The 20,521-nt window shown below is 43.6% G+C and overlaps 1 protein-coding gene across 1 annotated transcript in view; it reads left to right on the top strand.

The window, feature by feature from the left end:
• Positions 1-20,521, top strand: part of SPOCK1 (SPARC (osteonectin), cwcv and kazal like domains proteoglycan 1) — a 524,029-nt gene that overhangs the window by 378,730 nt on the left and 124,778 nt on the right. The window contains exon 5 of the mRNA NM_004598.4: positions 8,036-8,162. Within this exon, the coding sequence (NP_004589.1) occupies positions 8,036-8,162 (127 nt within the window). The remainder of the gene's footprint in view (positions 1-8,035; positions 8,163-20,521) is intronic.

Below are 20,521 nucleotides of genomic sequence, written 5' to 3'. Positions count from 1 at the left end.
AATTTATTTGCACCTACTCATGCAGTGTTTTTGGAAATTCTCATTTGAGGCTGTTCAATCCTCTCATCTATGAAGAATAGATTCTCCTCAGCTGCCTTGGCCATTGTGCAGTCCAGGTGAGAGGTACATCGTGGAGTCCCAAGTTGAAATGAACCACAGTCTAGAGTTCAACATTCGGGTACACCAGAGAGATGTTCATGCTTTTGGAATTGCATGCATACCAGACACATATCCTTCTGGTGGGCCTGATTATGCTCTAAGACTTTTTAAATATGCACTTTTCCTAGGAGTTTTGAAGGTGCTTAAGAAACCTGGCTTGGGGCTGGTTTGGAAAGCATGCCCTGGGATGATGGCTCTCTACTTCTTCTGGGGCCTGCTTGTCTCTCCTGATATGAGCAAGTCTTGACCTGGATGTGTGGTGACCCTGGCTCTCGTTATCTGGGCCAAGCAAGACGGGGTGAAGCACATAAAGGTGCTGGTATTCCTGTGGTTGACCTCCCAGCTTGAATCAATGGATGCCCTCCACCCTGATGCTGAGGGCTTATCTTGTGGGTATGGGTCCTTCCCATTGCCCCACGTCTGCTTTCCCATGAAATCTCCCCAACTCACCACCTCCCTAACAGATTCTCTTGCTCTTCCTTGACTTTTCTTCCTCTTGGGAATGTTGAGAGGAGGAGATGGACAGATCAAATAAAGGGCTTGAAACAATGCCTGGTATGTTAAAGGAGCTGGACACATGTGAGCTATTATGGGTAGTAGTAACAGCAGTAGTAGCAGCAGTGGCATAATAAGGCCGCTTATAAGGCAGCTCAGTAAATGTTTAGCTGCTGTTATTGTTATTATTACATATTTGTCCTTTTAAATTTCAGCTTCTGTAAACAGCAAGTCTTTTGCACCATTGCGTGCCCAGTAGTGCTTGGGACACCCTCAGGCACACAGGAGTCACTCTCTTCAGTTCTCTTTGCCTTGTTAGGAAAACTGGACTCTTTGGACATGCTTTCACGTCTGGGATCTTCTTCATTTGGAACAGGAGGGAGACACGTGAGCCCACATACCCCACGATGGAAAATCTCTCTCGTGGGAGTCTCTTTCATCAGAGCTGCTTTTGTAAATGACACAGGCCATTATGCTCTTCCTGTGTAATTTTATGACTTAGTATAATGACTCAAATAACCCTAACAACAGAGGAATTATAGCATCGTTTTACATGACAGATTATTTCAATGGTTAACATGTTTTTCATTTCAATTAACATTCATTATTTTGTCTCTGGTTCAAAATAGCCACTATGTTAACTATCTGCTTTAGAAGCAATTAGTTTTGATTTGGCAAACAAATTCATTATTTTTGAATAGGCGATTTGATAGTAACATGAAAGTAAAATGCATGTAATCCTTCTGTGCCAGGAAACAAAGACTCTTATTATTGGAGAGGGATCATTCTCTGGTGGATTCTTCATCCCTTTGAGCTGACAGGTCTCTGTCTTAGAGATGTGATAAGAGAACAAAGACAGGACAGAAAAGAAGGTCCAGTTACTAGGACTGGTTATGTATGCCTTATTTTTTCGATCTGTAAAATGGGTTTATTAATAGCATTTACCCTCAGAGTAGTTGCTATGTGTGAGGAATCAGGGAGATGCGTTCAGGGCAATTAGACCGGCATGTAGTAGCCACACGAAACAAGTTGACTGCTGCTGCTGGTCTTCATTATCTGGAATTGCTTTACTCCTTCAGCAGCTGTTCATATGCAGAGCGAAAACAGTTTTATCTAAAGTTATACAAACATGGTAGATGGCAGAGTGTACTGAGTAAAATGAATGGCCCTCCTTCAGTGACTGAAAGAAAAAGTCAGCAATTCTACACGTTTTTAGCAGCTACTTTCCCCATTATTAAAATATTTTTGACACAGATTGTTGAATTTCATTCAGCAGGATTATGTCAGGAAATTTACACCTGTACATGTATTTATTGCTAAAATAAAATTACTCTGTCTTGCCACCTGCTTGCTGTCGGCCCTGGCTATGGCCCCATTATGCCATGGTCAAGTGAAATGCTGGGTCACATTGATGTCTTCAAGGACTCCCTTGGTGTCCCCTGTGGGGGAGGTCACAGGGTATGGGTTGGTGAGGGTGGGGATATCTTAGTGGGGTCCTGTCTAAAGCAAGAGTGGGAAACACTGACGTGCGGAGTTGAAGGTTAAGGTTGACATTCCCAGGAACCAGGACAGGAGCACCTTGAAGAGAGGGGTTATGACCTGGGCAGTCCATCTTGCTTGTAGCTGTTGCCATCTTAAAAGATTGTGCTTATAGTCCTGTCAGCCACTCATGGAGAGTTGTTCTTGTAAATAAGATGAATGTGAATAGATTTGTTTCAATACTATATTTTATAAAAATCCTCTGAGTGGGGTTCCAAAGAATTGTTTTATAGCAAAGTAAGTCTTCAATTTGATAATATCAACATGTGATTCTGGGCAGTACTGTTAACTTGTTAGAAGATCCAAATGTTATGTTAATTGAGTACTACCCAATAATGTTGGATGACAGTTCACAGTGTTTGAATTTTTGCTCTAGGCTGCATGTCTTTATAAATACTACTAAACTTAATATTTCTTGCTTATTTAAAAAAACACATAAAATATTGTGATAAATATAGAAAAACATTATTTCAGCATTCTGATTTATCATTCCTGAATCCTGAAGATTAATATCTGCTGACAGTTTGGAACCACATCATCAGAGGCCCTCATGCAGCTTTGGAAACTGTCTGACTTCTAGAGTATGGGAATCCTTAGCCCGCTGATGCACAGGGGAGCTCCCTCCACCCACTTCTCAGTTGTTTCTAGAGTTTTGTGGGATTTTTTGCTAAATGGTTTTTTTTTTTCATAGTCTGAATTAGGATTTCTGGAAACAAGAGCCTGTTGAATTCTTGTTGCTTAAAACAACACACCATTTTTGTCTTCACCATAGTGCTAACATTTTCCAGAAATAAAAGGAGAAAATTCTAAAGGTCCAAATTAATATGTTCACTTATGGACTGAGTAGGATCATGTGCCAAGTGTTCCCCTATTTCTAAGTACCAGAAGCACAAACATGATTAAGGCCCAGTCACCTCTCTTAAGGAGTACATAGTATATTGAGGAAGATAGACACAAAAAGAACTTTCACATTGTAGTGAATGCCACAGTTGGGACTGAACAGGTTATAATGCTTGAATAAACAATGTCATGGTTAACTACTTGGGATGAAGTTTACAGGGTCAGCAAGACTTCACAGAAAGCAATGGATTTGAAGCTTGAACAAGGAATAGACATTGTTATGCAGATGGAAAATAATTGTCCAGTCCTATAGACTTGAATTTGCATGACACGTGGAAGAGACACTTAAGTGGTAGATATGGCTGGCTGGAGATAGAACTTAATAGGACTGCATGGCAGGGAAAACTGGTATGAGCAGGAAGATGGAGGTGTCCAGCATGGGCTTCCCAGGCTTTTAGCCTGGGTGTGCCCCATGTCCTGTTGGAATAATAACCTCTTAACCTTTTGTCAAGTTAAATCAAGGTGCTTGCTTGGAAATTAGTCAGAGAACCCAACCAGAAGTGGTCACTAGGCTATGGTGGAGTGGGAGTGCAGCCTGACTGCCTTTGGAGGGACCTAGGAGGCTTCCTGGGGAACTGATATTTTAGCCAGGCCACAGAGAAAGGTGGATGGAGGGGAGAAATGTGGGTCAAGGAAAACCCACATGATGGCACATGGGAAAGAGCTGGCTCTGGGAAACGGCTGAGAGTGGCTGGAGCAAAAATTGATGTTGGTCGTGGTCAGTGTGCATGTGTGTGTTGGGGAGGGGAGCAGGTAGACAGGGAGCCTGTGAAGGTAGGCTGGGACAGTTTAATTCTCAAGCTTGGAGTATAGACTATGCCCTAGGAGGTAGGGAGAAGATAGAAGTTTTTTTTTTTTAGACAGAGTTTTGTTTTTGTTGCCCAGGCTGGAGTGCAGTGGTATGATCTCGGCTCACTGTAACCTCCGCCTGCCGTGTTCAAGTGATTCTCCTGCCTCAGCCTCCCAAGTAGCTGGGATTACAGGTGCCCGCCACCACAGCCAGCTAATTTTTTGTATTTTTAGTAGAGACGGGGTTTCGCTATGTTGGCCAGGCTGGTCTCGAACTCCTGACCTCAGGTGATCCACCCGCCTCAGCCTCCCAAAGTGCTGGGATTTTAGGCGTTGAGCCACAGCACCCAGCTGAAGATAGAGGTTTTAAGCAGGAGAATCACATGATCGGATTTGCACCTAAAAATCATTCCTTTGCTTCACAAACATAATGCTGGGAATTTGATTATACTTTTTAAAAAAAGATGGAGAATATACAGTTGAACAAAAAGGAATAGGAAATGCCAGTGATCTGTTGATTATCTGTCTTCTTGCCATCGTGGATGGCTTGAGGGTTGGGATTTTGTGTGTGGTGCCATCAGCCTGCAGGAGATGTGGCTGCCCCTTGGCACCAGCTGGGCTGGGGTGGATTTAGGGCTCGCTGGCCAATGAGAGAAGGCTGACAGAACCTGCTCTCAGACTAAATTGTTGTGTCACCCCAGTTGACAAATATCTGTGACATTGGGCATAACAATCCCATCAAGATACCTTCATTGGATTTCACTCTTCATTGACTCAAGAGAAATGAAGAAATATCTTGATTAAAAATTTTAGTCCCTTGCCTTGACTGGGTTAGTTATTTTTTTATGATTTGCACTGAATTGTGGAGATTAAAATATACAATAGCCAGGGAAGTTATGCTTCCCTGGGCTCACATATACTTGTACATAACTTTACATACTTGGCCTCTGGAAAGAGACTTCAGAATCATGTGCTATCTCCACTAGAGTCCTACCTTGTGGAGGTAAGCAACAGCTGAGTTTGCCCCCATCTAACAGGTATTCTTGTTTCATTAGAATTGAGAGCATTCAGAATGGCTTGCCCTTTGTGCCCAGAGCCCCCAACGTGTCCTAGGAGAAGTCAAAGGTGATTTTACCTGAGCATAATTCATAACCACCTGATATCAAGTATGTCCAGCTTGCTGCTCTGCAGGTATAGAGCCAGGAACAATGTTTCAGAAGACTATTATTTATAAAACTGAAGGTTGGTAATGAAAGTACATATGCCAAAACAGGGGATGAAAATAGTCCCAGATTGATGCTGGTTTCCTGAACAACTTCCGTTCAACAATTTTAGATGATGTAACTTTGCCATATTTCTCGGTGACACTGGGAAAGTCACTTCCTCTCTGTGTCTCTAGTTTCTCACCTAGAAAATAAAGTTATTGAAGTAGAGTAGTTTTAAGGTGTTTTCTCGTTCTGACATTCTGTGATTTTGTGATTAACTGCTGAGATACCACTGCAGTGGTCAGCACATAGGGACTCCCCCCACCGACCCCGCCACCCTACAGGGATATCTTTAGCGTCCAGGATGCACCAGGCCCTCTGATAGGCACCAGTCAGCCTCACCTCGTTGCTTCCCTTTAATGAACTTACTTTAATGGTGAAGTTCAGGTCCAGTGATAGAGATGATTTGTCATTAACTGGTGATTGATAGCTGATTCCATCTTTTCTTCAAAGCCATTGGTTCAGTGCTTACGTCTCCCTCCCTTGACTTTGGCTAAGCTCCCTTAGGCTTTTTTCCTCTAGGTCATCATTTTACATGGTTATGTCTGCTCCAGCAAAGCTGCCCACTCTTTGGACTTTATAGCCCCTTTCTGGGAACTCATAACAAGAATTGCTTCAGCTGTAGATATGCAGACTGGGGACTGACCCAGGAGCAGGGCTGCTAAATGCCAGAACTACTTCCTGCATTTGCTGATTCATTATCAGTGTCAGACAATCTGCTGTGTAAATGATGATTAAGTCTAGTGTTCTGCTGAAGGAATCACGTACCCTAAGATTAACCCCATGCTGACAGCCCCCTCTTTCACCACAAGGAGTCCCACCCACCATCCCTTTATCAGTATCCTAGAACAAATCCTGAAAGAGTACCGTATGTTTGATGAAGGATAATAGGAGGCCTCATGCCCATGTAATTTATAAATGCAAATAATAGACTTTAAAAAATCCAGAGGGCAAAGCCAAGGTGAGCAGCAGCTATGAAAGCAGTGAAGTGTTGGAGAGAAGACCCCAAATGACACACATATGGGTGCCCTCAAAGAATTTTCAAGCTGGTAATCTAGGTTGGGCTGAGATGGGCTAAAGAAGAGAGACACATCCCTGGACACTCTCTACAGCTGTGTGCATGCCATCTGAAATCTAGTTACTGATCAGCTCCACGACTTTAGGTAAGACTCTGGCTCTCATTGAGTTTCAGTTTTCCCCGCTAGTAAGACAAGCAAGTTGAACAAGCAAGGTGATTTCAGGGGACACTCATAAGACTTTCTTCTCTGGTTCTGTGGTTAGACAGGCTCAGCCCTGTGGCCTGCCCAGCCTAGGATCTCTGAGGGCCCCATGTGCTGTGCTGTGGGTACCTGTTGATCCTCTCTGATGTCACCCTCAAAGGTTGTTCCCCAAACAGACCTTTTTCCTCCTACCACCTCCCCCAAATTGCTAGAGTAGGTTTGAGGTAGAATAAGAACCAAATTAACGGTCCTCTTGGCTTTATGCATCTTTCTTTCTTGCTCACTTTCCTTCATTTGGAAGAGGGTAGGTTACCCTAGATACCAAACCTGAATTCCTGAGGACTGGAGATTCATTCCACACCTGGTAGAAAATATTTCCGTCTTCTGCTTCCATGAATTATTTTGAAAATTAAATGCCATTCCAAGCCTGGGGACTGAGGATTAATCACATTTCTATGGTTATGGTAATTTCATCCTCCATACCCCCACCTGTGGGGGCAAGTAATAATTGTAATAATGGCTACCATTTTTACTGCTTCCTATTTTGCAGGCACTCTGCTGAGTACTTCAGATACATCCGCTCATTTAATCTTCATAATATCCACTTGAAGTCAATTCTATTTTCCTCCATTTTACTAATGAAGAAACTGAGATTTGTACCATTAAATACCTTGCCAAGGTCGCACTGTGAGTGAATGACAGAGCTGAGATTTGAACTTGTACTTTCTGACTCCAGAGCCCAAGCACTAATCATCATGCAGGAAGGCCAGTGCCAAACATTTCAAAGGCACAGTAATTGCCTGATTGATGGGCTATCCAGAGACGGGTAGCCTTCAACCAGAACTCAGCCCCAGGGCCCTGGGAGTCGCTCCAAGCGGTTTGCTTGGAGAACAGCTTTGGCTAAGAGAGGAAGGGTGGCAGTAACTGCAGGCCTTTATTTCAGTGGTTTATGATATAGTGATGGGGTTCCTTCCGTGGACGTAAGTCATCCTAATAGCGACATTTATCATTATGACAAAGGTTAGAATGGGGAAAAACTTGAGCTGGAATGAAAGAGTAGAATTCTGATTATTTTAACAGTTGAAAGTGACATCACCTCAGAGCCTCTATCAAATGGCAGATTGGAAGCTGGACTGAAATTACTTTAAAATATATCCAGAGATAGTTTTCTACAGCTGTGATAAAGTCTTTCAGTTGTGTTCAGAGGTGTGCTTTTGTCTAAAGCGCTCATTGAGTTGCCCGTGCGTCCTCCACACAAAAGGCTGCCTGTGAGTCCCAGGAGAGTCTCAGACTTTGGGGTGCTGTTCTCTGGGCACCCGTGATATGCCACATACGGTATTGGGGCTGATTAAGCCATATTCCCTCACCGTTTTTTTTCTTTTTTTTTCTGTGTGTTGTAAAAATCTTCCCATGTCAGTAGTCATGTTTTCAATGGCTACATTGTTTTCCTCAGTCCATCTGGTTTGTTGAATCTATGCTTCTGGGACAAAATCCTCTGCTTCCTATCAATGAGTTGGAGCAAATGGAAGTGCTGGCTAAGGCCCTCAGGATCCCTTGGCCTGGTTGGATAGTCCTTTATTTATTTGGCCTTTTATTCTGGGAACTTAGAGGAAAGACTCATAGGGTCTGGAGCTTCAACTAATTTATCCCCTTTTTTCTCATCTTTAGGCAAAAGAAGGGGAACGTGGCCCAGAAACACTGGGTTGGACCTTCGAATTTGGTCAAGTGCAAGCCCTGTCCCGTGGCACAGTCAGCCATGGTCTGCGGCTCAGATGGCCACTCCTACACATCCAAGGTTGGTTTTCTTGTCTTTTTATGTTATCAAAAATACTTCATGTCGGCTTGTTCTAACACTTCTCTATGCCAAAACTGGGGCTTGGGAAGCGTGGTGGGCTCCAGGCCTTGCCCTTGAGAAGCTGCTGCATTAGCAGACTCAGAGATGTTCTCTGGCCATGGAGACAAGCAAAATAAAAATATTCTATCCTGTGTAACTGGGCTGGTTGGAGGGGAAGAAGAAGGGATGGTTCTGAGAATGGCATGTGATCCTGAAGTTAATCTAGACAAGCTTCCTGGAGAAGGTGGGATAGCCAGCTGTTCAAAAGAGGCAAGTCATATAGCTCAACTGATGGGGAGCAAACCAGTAAGGGGGGGTCGTGATGCTGCCTTGTGCCAGTGCAGTGGAAGGAAGGGGTGTGACATCAGTGCACACCTAATTCACACTTACTGCACATCTAGAATGCATCTGGCCCTGCACAGGCCCCAAATAAGGCACTGTTCTTTTCTGGGGGTGCCTCAGGGATTCACAGATGAATGGGGGTAGGGACAAGTGTGTGACAGGTCATTTTAACTCAAACCAACAACAAGAAAATTGTTTCACAGAAAAAGGGGCTGGGATAAAATATGTCTATTTATATTTATTGGAGGGATGAGGGAAGGCTTTATTTCTATTGGAAAGATGAGGAAAAGCCTCTTCTAGAGGGGCATTTCACCTAAGCTCTAATAATAGGATTTACAGGCAGGGAGGCAGGGGTTATGGAAGTAGAGAAAGGAGGTGATAATTTGTTCTTGGAACTCTCCTTGGGTGAAGTATGGCCATTTGTGATTGAGAATGGGTACGTTTCACCAGGATAATGAACTAAAGGGAAATCATAGAATTGATAGGAGTTTGCTTCTTCATTTTCATATCCGACAACCATCCCCTGAGGATCTAACATTGCTAGACTAACATTGCTAGACACAAAGGAGCCAGTGTATGGGTGCGTGTGTCAGGGTTTTCTGTAAGACATGGTGGGTGGGAGTAGAGCTCTTGCCCTCCCCATCTCCTCCAGCCAGAGCTACACCATTTTCATCTGTCTTCCTGTTTTTCTGTGTAAGGTTTAACTTGCAGAGTGGAGCCCATGACTAAAGAGTTGCTGTAGGGGACATCTTGGTGACTCCTGGCCACACTGCTGCATGGTTCTTGGGCCTTTCTGCTGGGACCTCCTTCTTGTCATGCTCCCACTGCACAGACAATTGGCCACTTCTGTTCTCTGTGATCCCCTCACCACCTTGACCCTCACACCATGGAGATGTCACAGGCTCACGATGATCCTCACTGCTTGCTGTCCTCAGAGACTTATCAGGGTTATTTAGAGGCTGTGACCACTTTTCCCTATCGATTTTGTGATGCACGGGTCATATATCCTTATGATTTTGTCCACTAATAGTTGAGTTTTATCCTCCCAGATGTTCACATTTTTCTAACAAAGGAGAAGAAAAATGTGCTTCTTACAAACAGGAAAGTGGAAAGGTACATATGTCTGGCTTGTACTCAGACCCATGGGATCTGCTTTAGGATTCAATAGCATATCATTGCTTGATTGGTTCCTTGGTTCATTCAACAGGTTATCATTTGATCCATTTCTAGTGCCAGGCACTGTGCTAGGTGCTGGGAAAATTTATAACATAATGGGAATAAAAGAGTTGGCTCTTCTTCATGGCCAGACTCAGGAATCCTTAACTCTAACTCCAGACCTGTTCTGTGAGTTAGAAATTCTTTGTCCAAGATTATAGCCTTTCTCAATAGCCATAGCCCATCTCAGCTCAACTAAACCCACACTTCCCCATCCCCTTACTCTTTTTAGCCCCTAATAGATTCAACATTTTTGATAGTTTATAGTAACAGGACTTGCTTTTGACACCCTAGCCATGTCTGGAGTGGTGGATTTAAAGGGGACACTGATGAGTCATTTCTATCCCCCATTCCCAAAGGCAGATCAGGCCATCATTGTCTTTCACTTAAGGCCCAGATCCTAGGTGTGTAAACAATCATCTGGAGATGCTGTTAAAATGCAGATTCTGAGATGACAGGTCTGACATTCTGTACTTCTAGCAGTTTCCCAGGTGATGACCAAGCTGCTGGTCCACAGACCACACTTTTAGTAGCAAGGATATCAGTGTTTATAGAACCCTTCTAATAGGTCTCCCTGCCTCCAGTCTGCCCCTTCTGCTACCCCAAAGTCAATTTCCACATATCCGAAGAAGGAGAATTTTTGTAATAAAAGTCTGTGTGTCTCCTCTGCTAAAAATGCTCAGCTAGCTCTCCCTTGCCACTATCGTTACTAATGGGGCCCTCCAGAGCCTGCCCCCTTTTGCTCCAGGTCACTCACCGTAGAAAGAATCTTTCATTCATTTGTTCAGCAGCTCTTATTGAACACTTGCAGTTGTTGTATGCACTGTGCAAAACATGGGGTGAGGGCGGTGGCAAATAAGACAGGCACCATTCCTACTCACTTGGAAGTTACCATCTGGTAGGGAACACAGAAATAAACAGGTAACCAAGCATATAAATATGTAATTTCAAATTTTAGTAAGTACTATGAAGCATAGTTCTGAAAGAGAGGGTTGGAGAGAGACTTGTTTTATAGGGAATGGTGATCCGGGAAGGTGTCTCTGAGGGGGTGTCCTTTAAACTGAGAGTGGAGGAGTAGAATGTTCCAGATAGAGAAAATAGCATGGGCCAGTGCAGTAAGTCAGTGTGAGGTGTTTGAAGAACCATGAGGATGCCCCTGTGGAGAAACATGAGATAAGAAGGAGAGGGAGGATATTGAAACCGTCTAAGCAGGGACACTTAGCCAGCTTGGAAGGTGAGAAGATGATCTGGCAATTCCAGGCTGGAGGGATACTCGGTATTATAATTGCCTTAAGAATGTGAGATCCCAGAGGCAGAGACCGTTTATAGTGGCTGCTCAGGCATGGGGTGTAGTAGATAGTGGCTGCTCAGAAAACATCATTACCAAGAGAGGAGCCAAAAAAGAGTCTAGCTGAGAAGGAGTGGGGAGATTCCAGTCCGCATAACTCAACTTGGATTTGAGTCAATGGGGTGCAGAGAGCTTTGCAATAGAAAAAAACAAGCCATCCCTATCCTGGGCCAAGCTGCTTAGCTGAACACCCAACCTGGGGCTCTGGCAGAGACTTAGCAGCTCCTTGCAATGTTTCTCTCTTTGTGAAGATCCTGTTTGTGCTGTTCTAATTATTCCTTCCAGCTCTGGAGCAAACTGTCTGATCCTCAGCCTGAGACTGGAGATGAGCCATGAGATGTCTGAGTACTCAGGACTGTTTGGGCAAGTGGCGTATTGTACATCAAACCCCAGCAAAAACCTGCTCACTCACCTCTGCCACTCATTCGCAGGAGGAGCTTAAAATGCCAGCTCCCTGTGAACCTTGAGCTGCAAAGAGCAGTGGTAACCTGTCAGACATGGCTGAAATGCTGTCAGTTGCCCGGGAAATAGCTCTGGAAATGTTTGCTGGTCAAAGCCTCTTGGTAGTTTGGGCAGGAAAGTTGACTTTTTGGATATGGGAAGGTTGCCTGCTTAGAAGTACTTAATAGCTGGTTTGAGAAGGATTGGGGAGACCCCTTTGCAATGACTTCGGATTCTTCATAAGAGGAGTGGCATATACATACTGCTGGGCCTGGCCCTCAGACCTTCCCAAACAGCATCCTGATATTCCTTTAGTGTCTTTGAATTCCTGCACCAGCCTGACCAGCTTCTCAGTTTCCCAGACCTGCTTAACCCTTTTCCTGGGGCAGAAGAAGATGTCTAAAGCCATCTTACCAAAGGTTGTAATATTCTTCTCCCATATTCCGTGTAGGATATACCGAAGCCCCAAAAGACAAGGATAGTGGGAGTTTTACGCCCATGGTCTCCTGCCTGGGTATCTGTGATCTGTTCACTTCTATTGGAAGATAAAGGGAAAAGAGTGGTGGGAGGGGCACTGCTGCAGTGGGAAATGGCATGGGTGTTGGTTCTTGGCATTAGTGTGCTAGTCTTCTGTCTTATGTGAACATCTAGAAGTTTGTGTTTTCTCTTTCTTAACATAGTGGGGCAAATATTACTTAATCTGAAGCTGTGTTTTGATTGCTGAAGACTTCTGAAGCAGAGGACAATTCTAGACCCCTGTGGCATTCTATGAGGCTTCCTTCCAAGGGGGCTATTTCAGTCTGGTTGGATTTACTACTGGAGTGTTTTAGACATTGCTCCTAAATACCTGGCCACTTATTTATTGAGGTTCAAAAAGATGATTTAGTCTCAGAGACAAACCTGTTGGAGACCACCAGTAGATGCTCAATTAGTAAGAGTGAATTAGTTAACTGTAAAGGAGCAAATGACTTCCCATCCCATGGAGTTAGAACCTTTTTTGGATCATCGGTGTCAGGAAACAAAGGACAGATGAGACCATGACGCATGTGTAGTTGGAGGTGATTCAATGTCATTAAGTCAAAATCATAAAAATTAGTTTTGGCAAAAATATATTACTGTCCCTGTCCCATCATCATCAGGGAAACCCACACTCCATAATACATAATCACATTTTTCCAGGTGAATTGTTTACTCCTTCAAGATGGGTTCCATGGCTGTGTGAGCATCACCGGGGCAGCTGGAAGAAGAAACCTGAGCATCTTCCTGTTCTTGATGCTGGTATCTGTCCTTGGGTTTCATCAAACAAGCTTTCCTTCTGCTTCCGGGCCCCCAATAGTCAGAGGTTCCTAGAAGTGGTGGATGCATTGTGGAGTCTTTGTCTACAGCAGGCCTCTTCTAATGCCCTGATACCAGGGACACCACTCAGAGCTGTGTGACTCCCCCAGGATCAAAGATAAAGTGCACAGAAAGGCACAGAGTCTTGAGATGAAGGGATGTAAGATGTTACATGGCAATAAATGTTTATTCAGACACTATAAAGCATAATCCATAAAAGATAAGGAACAGAAGGGTACTACAGGGAATTGACAAATGGAAGGCCAACAGTGCAGCTGGTTTGAGAGTGTGATATAGACTCTGACCCTTCGCTTGGCTTCCAGGCAGTAAGGATCGCCGTAGTAATTTCTTAACTACTCTTGATACTGCATTTTTATGGCAAGGAAGACTGAAGTAAATTTCTGACTTTATTGAATTCAGAAATTCAATAAATATGTATTGAGTTATTTCCTACTCTGTACCATACACTGTGTTAAATACTAGGGATATGGCAAAAGACAAAATAGACAAAGCCCCAGTTTTCATGGAACTTACAAGGAAGGTAGACAAATTGAAAAGCAGTCTCCTTTCGTTAGAATAGATGTTTAGATAAGGGACATTTGGGAAGCTGCAGGAACACAGAGCAAGGCCACCTCAACCAGTTTGGAGGTGTAAGCAGTCTTCTTGGGGAAGCGATGGTTCAGGTGAGATCTTAAGGCTGGAAAGAGTCAACCAGAGTAAGAGCTGGGGGCACAGGAGCTCATTCAGTCAGGGAGGAGGGGGTCGAAGAGGTGAGAGAAAGCATGGCACCTTGAAGGAACTGGTGACTGTCAGTGTGGCTGGGTCACATGTGAGGTAGGGAAAGGGGTTCACTAGCTGTAGAAATGAGGCTAGAAAAGTCACCAAGGGCCACATTTTGCAGGGGCCACATGAAGGGGTTTGGACTTTGCCTGAAGAGTATTGGGGAACCTACCAAAGGTTTATATTTTTGAGTATGCTTACACTGGCTGCAGGGTGGGCATGGTTGGGGCAGGATTGGAGGCAGGGTGACTGTGAGAAGCCTCCTGGAATCATCTGGGCCTGGTGTGAGGGAGGCCTGGATTTGCAGAGAGGGTGCAGGGATGGATAGAAAACCATCTAAAAAGGTATTTGGGAAGCTACAGCTGGTCTTAGCAATGATTCGAATTTCAGATATAGAGTCATTACAGCTCCGAGCCCAGGAGGACTTCTTCACCGTCTTCAGCTTGGCGGGACTTGCAAGTCCTCCTGCCTGCCGCTTTGTGGTTTTGTCCTGGACCATCTGGGAGCCCAGCACTTCTGGAATCCTTTCCTTTCTTTTCTGTTATCAGCATAGAAAGAGTAAAGCTTGCTGGGGGCCTGATTGCCAGCTTTTAATTCTGTCTGCTGGAAGAGAAGCACTGATGCTGCTGACTGGACCCTGGGCAGCCCAGGCTTCACCCAAGTGGGCAGTCTCAGGCTTTCTCACTCTGGAGGAGAGAGCTGCTTTAGAAAATGGGAGGAGATCTGGTGAGGAACTGGGCTCCTGGGAGCTCAGAAAGGAGCAGAGGAGGAGGTTGCTACTGCTCCAGGTCCTGGCTCTGGTTGTGGTGGGGGGTGGGGGTGTCTAATTGCCAGGCCTCCTTTGATAGGACTTTATGGACTTCAGTCATCTGGGCCCACCTGACTGAAGCTCAGATGTCAGGGCTGACTGCTCACTTCCCAGCACTGGGCCTTGTCTTTGAGGAGAGGGCCCACTAAGCGCCACCACTGTGAGTCTTGAGAGCCAGCACTGTTCACTGGCATCAGCTTGGCTGCTGGTAATCGGCGACCAAGCAGGCAAACACCCGTCTGCTGTCACTCCCCTCCCCCTGACATTCTCTTCCTTAATTGCTGTTAAACAATTAGCAAATGGCTCAATTATGTCTCGACACAGAAGAGAGACGCAGAGTTAAGAACTGCTGTGGAGGAAAATGTTTCTCTTCCCTTCTGCCTGAGCACGTGTGAGGGAGGCGAGAGAGCACTTGCTTTACAGGGTTGGCATTTCTTTCAGCATATTGTCGCTGCAGATTATATTATTTTTTCAGAGGCATCTTAATAGTTTCCAACAATTGCTACCTTGTAAAGGTCATGTTTGAAGTTCTTGGCAAGTAGAGTCTGTATTGGCCGACATTGCCTAACAACAGGCTATTCTCAGGGTCGGAGCAAATCAGGGTTGTGCATGTGTAAGACTTCTCAAGATGGCTTTAAGCTCAGCATGACTTCTCTGTCTCCCAAGGCTTTTATGACCTTGTGACCATGTCAGGCATAGGAGGTTTTTATGTGTGGCTACTTTTCTTTTAAGCAGAGTTGAGACTGTTGGTGTTTTCAGGAGTATTTTTTGGATAGTCCTGCTCCCACCAGACCCGTGGGTTGAAAATTGGCTTTACTTGCAAATGGCTTATTGGTGAGGGCCTTGCTTCTGACTAAGCAGAAAATAAAATTATTGGAAACTGAAGGCAGAAGATGGCACTTGCACATGTTGTGCATCCACAGGCTGGAACACAATGGCAATAGCAATGGCGTTAAGGATGAGAGCAGCAGCAGCAGCAATTAGGCAAGTCACTGGATGTTCCCATCTGTGCAGCACTGAGGGGAGATGAGAAGTTAAAATTCTGATTTCATCCATGCCTACTCTTGGATGGTAGTGGGGAAAAGAGTCTTGTGCAGATAGACCACAGTGGACACCAACAGTCCAATAAGGCAGCGGTCCCCAACTTTTTTGGCACAGGGACCAGTTTTGTGGAAGACATTTTTTCCCTGGGCCATGTCAGGGATAGTTTTTGGATGATTCAAACACATCACATTTATTGTGCACTTTATTTCTATTATTATTACATAATAATACACAATGTTGTATAATTATTTTGTTGTAATGAAATAATTATACAACTCACCATAGTGTAGCATCAGCGGGAGCCCCGAGCTTGTTTTCCTACAACTAGATGGGGATGATGGGAGATAGTGACAGATCATCAGGCATTAGATTCTCATAAAGAGCATGCAACCTAGATCCCTTGCATGTGTAGTTCACAGTAGGATTCGCACTCCTATGAGAATCTAATGCCACCGCTGATGTGACACGAAGCGGAGCTCAGGCAGTAATGCTCGCTTGCCCACTGCTTATTTCCTGCTGTGGGCCGGTTCCTAACAGACCACAGACCAGTAGCAGTCCATGGCCTTGGGGATGGGGACCCTGCGATAAGGCATTTGGGTGGTAGATTTTATTATTTTGATTTTGTTTGTATTAGTCCATTATCTCACTGCTATAAAGAAATACCTGAGACTGGGTAATTTATTTTTAAAAAAGAGGTTTAATTGACTTATGGTTCTGTAGGCTGTACAAGCTTCTGCTTCTGGGGAGGCCTCAGGAAATTTATAATCATGGTGGAAGTTGAAGTGGAAGCAGGCCCATCTTACATGGCAGGAGCAGGAGGAAGAGAGAGAGATGAGGAAGATGCCACACACTTTTGAACAAACAGATCTCCTGAGAACTCTTATCACGAAAATGGCACCAAAGTGGGGATCAGCCCCTATGGTCCAATTACCTCCCACCAGCCCCACCTCCAACACTGGGGATTACAATTCAACAGGAGATTTGGGTGGGAACACAGATCCAAACCATATCACTGCTGCTTAGAAAAAGCCAACAAATGAAGTTGTATGTGTTTGGAGAAGTACTCAGTGGCATCTAACCAACTCCACGTGATTTTGCTGTATACATTCAACAGTTTGAAGGTTGGGGACAAACACTCAGTGTCAGATGACTGAATTTTGCCTTTTCCACCCAGTCCTTGCTCATTTTCAACCTTCTTTCCTTAGCCAAATATCATTTAATAAAAAGAGCTAGTTTACATTATGTGAAAATCCTCAACTATTAGTTTAAATAGAGTTCATGTACTAGTTTTGTTAGAATTATCCTCTTTTCTGATTTTCAGGGCTTTTGGAAGGAGAAAGTCAGAATAATATTTAAAATATTAATTGTGTGTTAGTTAGGATATAGGTTGTAGCTGCTATAACAAAAACCCAAATTAAACAGAGGCTTATAACGGGATTACATTTTATCTCTTGCTCCTGTAAACATTTACCAAGGTAAGCAGCCCAAGGCTGATGTGCAGCCTCCAGACTGGCAATGACCAGGATCCTTTTAGTCTGCTGTCATTCTCAGTGATTAGAATTGCTGAGCTTCTGTCTCTGGGTCCAGGATGGCTGCTACATCCAGCCAGTAGGATAGAGGAAAAGAAAGGGGGCACAATTGCGAAGCCACTAGTGTTACTTCTGTTTACATCCCACTTGCCAGAACTTAATCATAAGGCCACTGCAAGCTTCAAGGGAGGCTGGGGAATGTCGTTTTTATTACAGGCAGCAATGTATCCAGCCAAAATAGGAAAGTTACATTATTAAAAGAAGAACAAAGCCGGCGTGGTGGCTCATACTTGTAATCCCAGCACTTTGGGAGGCCAAGGTGGGTGGATAACCTGAGGTCAGGAATTTGAGTCTGCTCAACATGGTGCAACTCTGTCTCTACTAAAAATACAAAAGTCAGCCGGGCGTGGTGGTAGGCACCTGTAATCTCAGCTACTCTGGAGGCTGAGGCAGGAGAATCTCTTGAACCTGGGAGGCAGAGGTTGCAGTGAGTGGAGATCACACCATTGCACTCTAGCCTGGGCAACAGAGCAAGATTCTATCTTTAAAAAACAAAACAAAACAAAAAAAACCCAAAAAGCAGAGTAGATATTGGGGTTATCCAGCAATCACTACCACAGTGATATTTAAATAATAAATAATAATAACGACAGAAAAACAGTAATTATTGAGCATATTAAGCACTATCACATTGTGCTAAGTGCTGCAGTATTCTTTATTTTACTTTCTGTATTATTTCATCTAGCTCTCACAGTAAACCTGTAAGGTAGGTACTATTGTCAGTCCTAAATTGAAAATGAGAAAACTGAAGCTATACAACTTTTTTCAGGTCAATATCGCTAGTAAGTAGCAGAGTAGATATTTGAACCCTGGTCTGTCTGACTCAAGAGCTGCAATTTTTACTTCCACGAGTGAAAAACCATCTGAAAAGTAATGTAAAATACTAGTTGTAATATCAGAATGCTTTTGATTTTAATGACAGAAACATGACTCAACCCAAAAAAGGACAGTTACTGGCATAAAAGACTAGAAAGCATATTGGGGTAGCCAGGCCTTAGAGAAAGAAGGAAACCTTCAGTGTTGCCACCACTCCGTTTCTTTCCATCTCTCGTCTTTGTTTGCTTCTACTTGTATTTATTCTGCAAAGAGGCTTTCTTCCCTCAGCAGAGAATAGGGATTTTAATAGCCCCAGATTCACTTGCTCCCAGCCTAGAAACACCAAACAAATTTACTCATGTTTTAATCCTGGCAAAAGATTCCAACTAGCTCATTTTGAATCATGTGCCCTTCCCTTAATGAAATCTTATATCCAGGCTGATATGGCCCTATGGTTGGCCTGCTCTGGTCACATGAACCTCTTCATCCCAACCTTCGCTATGAATAAGAGTTAAGATTTTTTTTCAGCAGAAGAAGTGGGAGGAAAAGAGTTTATACTGCATGAATAAAATTTAATAAGTAGTATACCACCCAGTCACATTTTAAAATATTAACTATGTTAGCCTCATTAAATGCTATGGCCGCATGAGCCTGGTTTGAGCTGGTAAGAATGTATTAAGGCATATTGTGTTTCTAGGAATGATGGGCATAGAGGGGCATGCAAGGCAAGTTTTTATCCCAGACATGTTGTTTAGCTGAAGAGGAAGTTCATCTATGGGAATGTGATCTAGTGTCATTTTAATTCAGGATGTTTTTAAACCATTTGGCTTAATGCTTTAATACTTTCTTCTGATCGTGGGACACATCTGTCCTTAGTTCTCCCAGCATTTATTTCTTCTTAGAACATGCCAAGATAACACAGTCTTTTTGGCTCCTGAAGATAAACTTTCAGGCAAAATGGTTATTGTGACATTTTCAGAAAGCACAGATGTTCAGACATCGTCCATTGTGAAAATACATCCACAGAATTTACACAGACTACTTAAGCATGCAGATTAGTCATGAAGTTAGAGCAGAAGGAAGCAATTCAACTAATTATTTTACCACTTATTTCTATGTTCTGTATGCAAACATGCATTTAACCAAGATTTGAAGAATAGGTTTTCATTTCTTCTTCTCAAATGCCCTGAGTAGAATGCCATGTAATTAGTTAGTGCTTTTGTTAAAAACACATTAGGAAGAATACCTTCTTGTTGTCAGTTCTGTTGAATGCACAATTAAGCCATTTGATAAAGCAATTACCTGAACACGAAGATGCTTGGCCTCACTTCATCAGGAGATGAAATTAAGGATTAGGTAAAATTGCACAGCACATGATATCTCTGCCTACCAATCCTTTAAAAGACAGAAAGGTCCCTGGCCAGAATGAATAGACACAGTGCTATAAGCCTAATTAAATCACTGCAAACAACTTTAATGAAGTTCATGATCATGTCGCTTTTGTTTTTCTTTAAAGGAGACAAACAGAATATTCCCTTGCTGACATTCTGCTCTAATGAGTATGGTCAGACTTCTTCATATTTTTCAAGAGAACATTTCAGCGCCAAGATGTAGGTAGGGCTCAGTGAAGCTGATCTTACTTTATAAGCCCTAGGCTGAGACCTGTGTGTTATATGGGGAAATTAAGGAATATTAACTGGGTTGGGACTTACCATGAGTTGTTGCCATAATTGTGTATTGAAGGAAATGGGCTTTAATGATGCTCTTATTTTTACCAAAGCAAGTTTTCTTTTTTTTTTTTTCCCCTTTCGGAAACAAATGAAACATTTGGGAATCTTTGTATACCATGAACAGAACAGAAATGCTTCTTCCTCTGAACAAGGGTGTCCTTCTTGAGCTGCTAGATTCTGTCCAGGAAGGTGCTCAGAACAGCAAACCTCCAGTAGCAGGAAAGGCCCTGTGTCCAAATAAGCGAGTTTTCCCAAGTTCTCATCCAAAAGCAGTAAGGACAGCTTTTGAATCCAAACCTCCCCAAAGTCAGGCTGTACAATGGCAGGCAGGTAAGAAACTTGGATGCTATAGGAAGCTGGTGACCCCAAACAGTTTGGTCAGATTGAGCTCATTAGAAGTATTTCTTTGCTTTCTCTTCTCCAGTGGAGAGGCCAAAAGATGATATGTATCAGTGAGGGTGGGATGCCCCAAAGGTGTCTCTAATCAAGATTCACTACATCATGCACGTTGTCTTCTACCATTTTCTGCTGGAAGCTATCTAGTCCAGCCACCTGGCTTCTCTTTATAATAAACCAATGCACAACCCAACTCCCTGGCACCAAACAAGGGACAAGGAGAGGTGGAATGGAGAGAATGCATCAATTGTTTTTGGCAATTTAATGCACTGTGATGATCCCTCACCCACATCTAGCCCTACAAAAAAGGAGGAACCATTTTCCTGGGATTTTAACTGTAAGGCTTATCATAAGCACCATCTCCTCAGTGAACCCTCCTGAGCCCTTTGTGCCAAACTAGACCATTTCTTTCCTGTAAACTCCCCTGTTGGAGCACTGATTCCATCACATTGGAAATGTTGTTGTACACGTGGAAA

Source organism: Homo sapiens, chromosome 5 (assembly GCF_000001405.40).
Source record: "Homo sapiens chromosome 5, GRCh38.p14 Primary Assembly".
In the NCBI taxonomy this organism is placed as follows: domain Eukaryota; kingdom Metazoa; phylum Chordata; class Mammalia; order Primates; family Hominidae; genus Homo; species Homo sapiens.
This window is presented reverse-complemented; position numbering and strand designations above follow the sequence as displayed.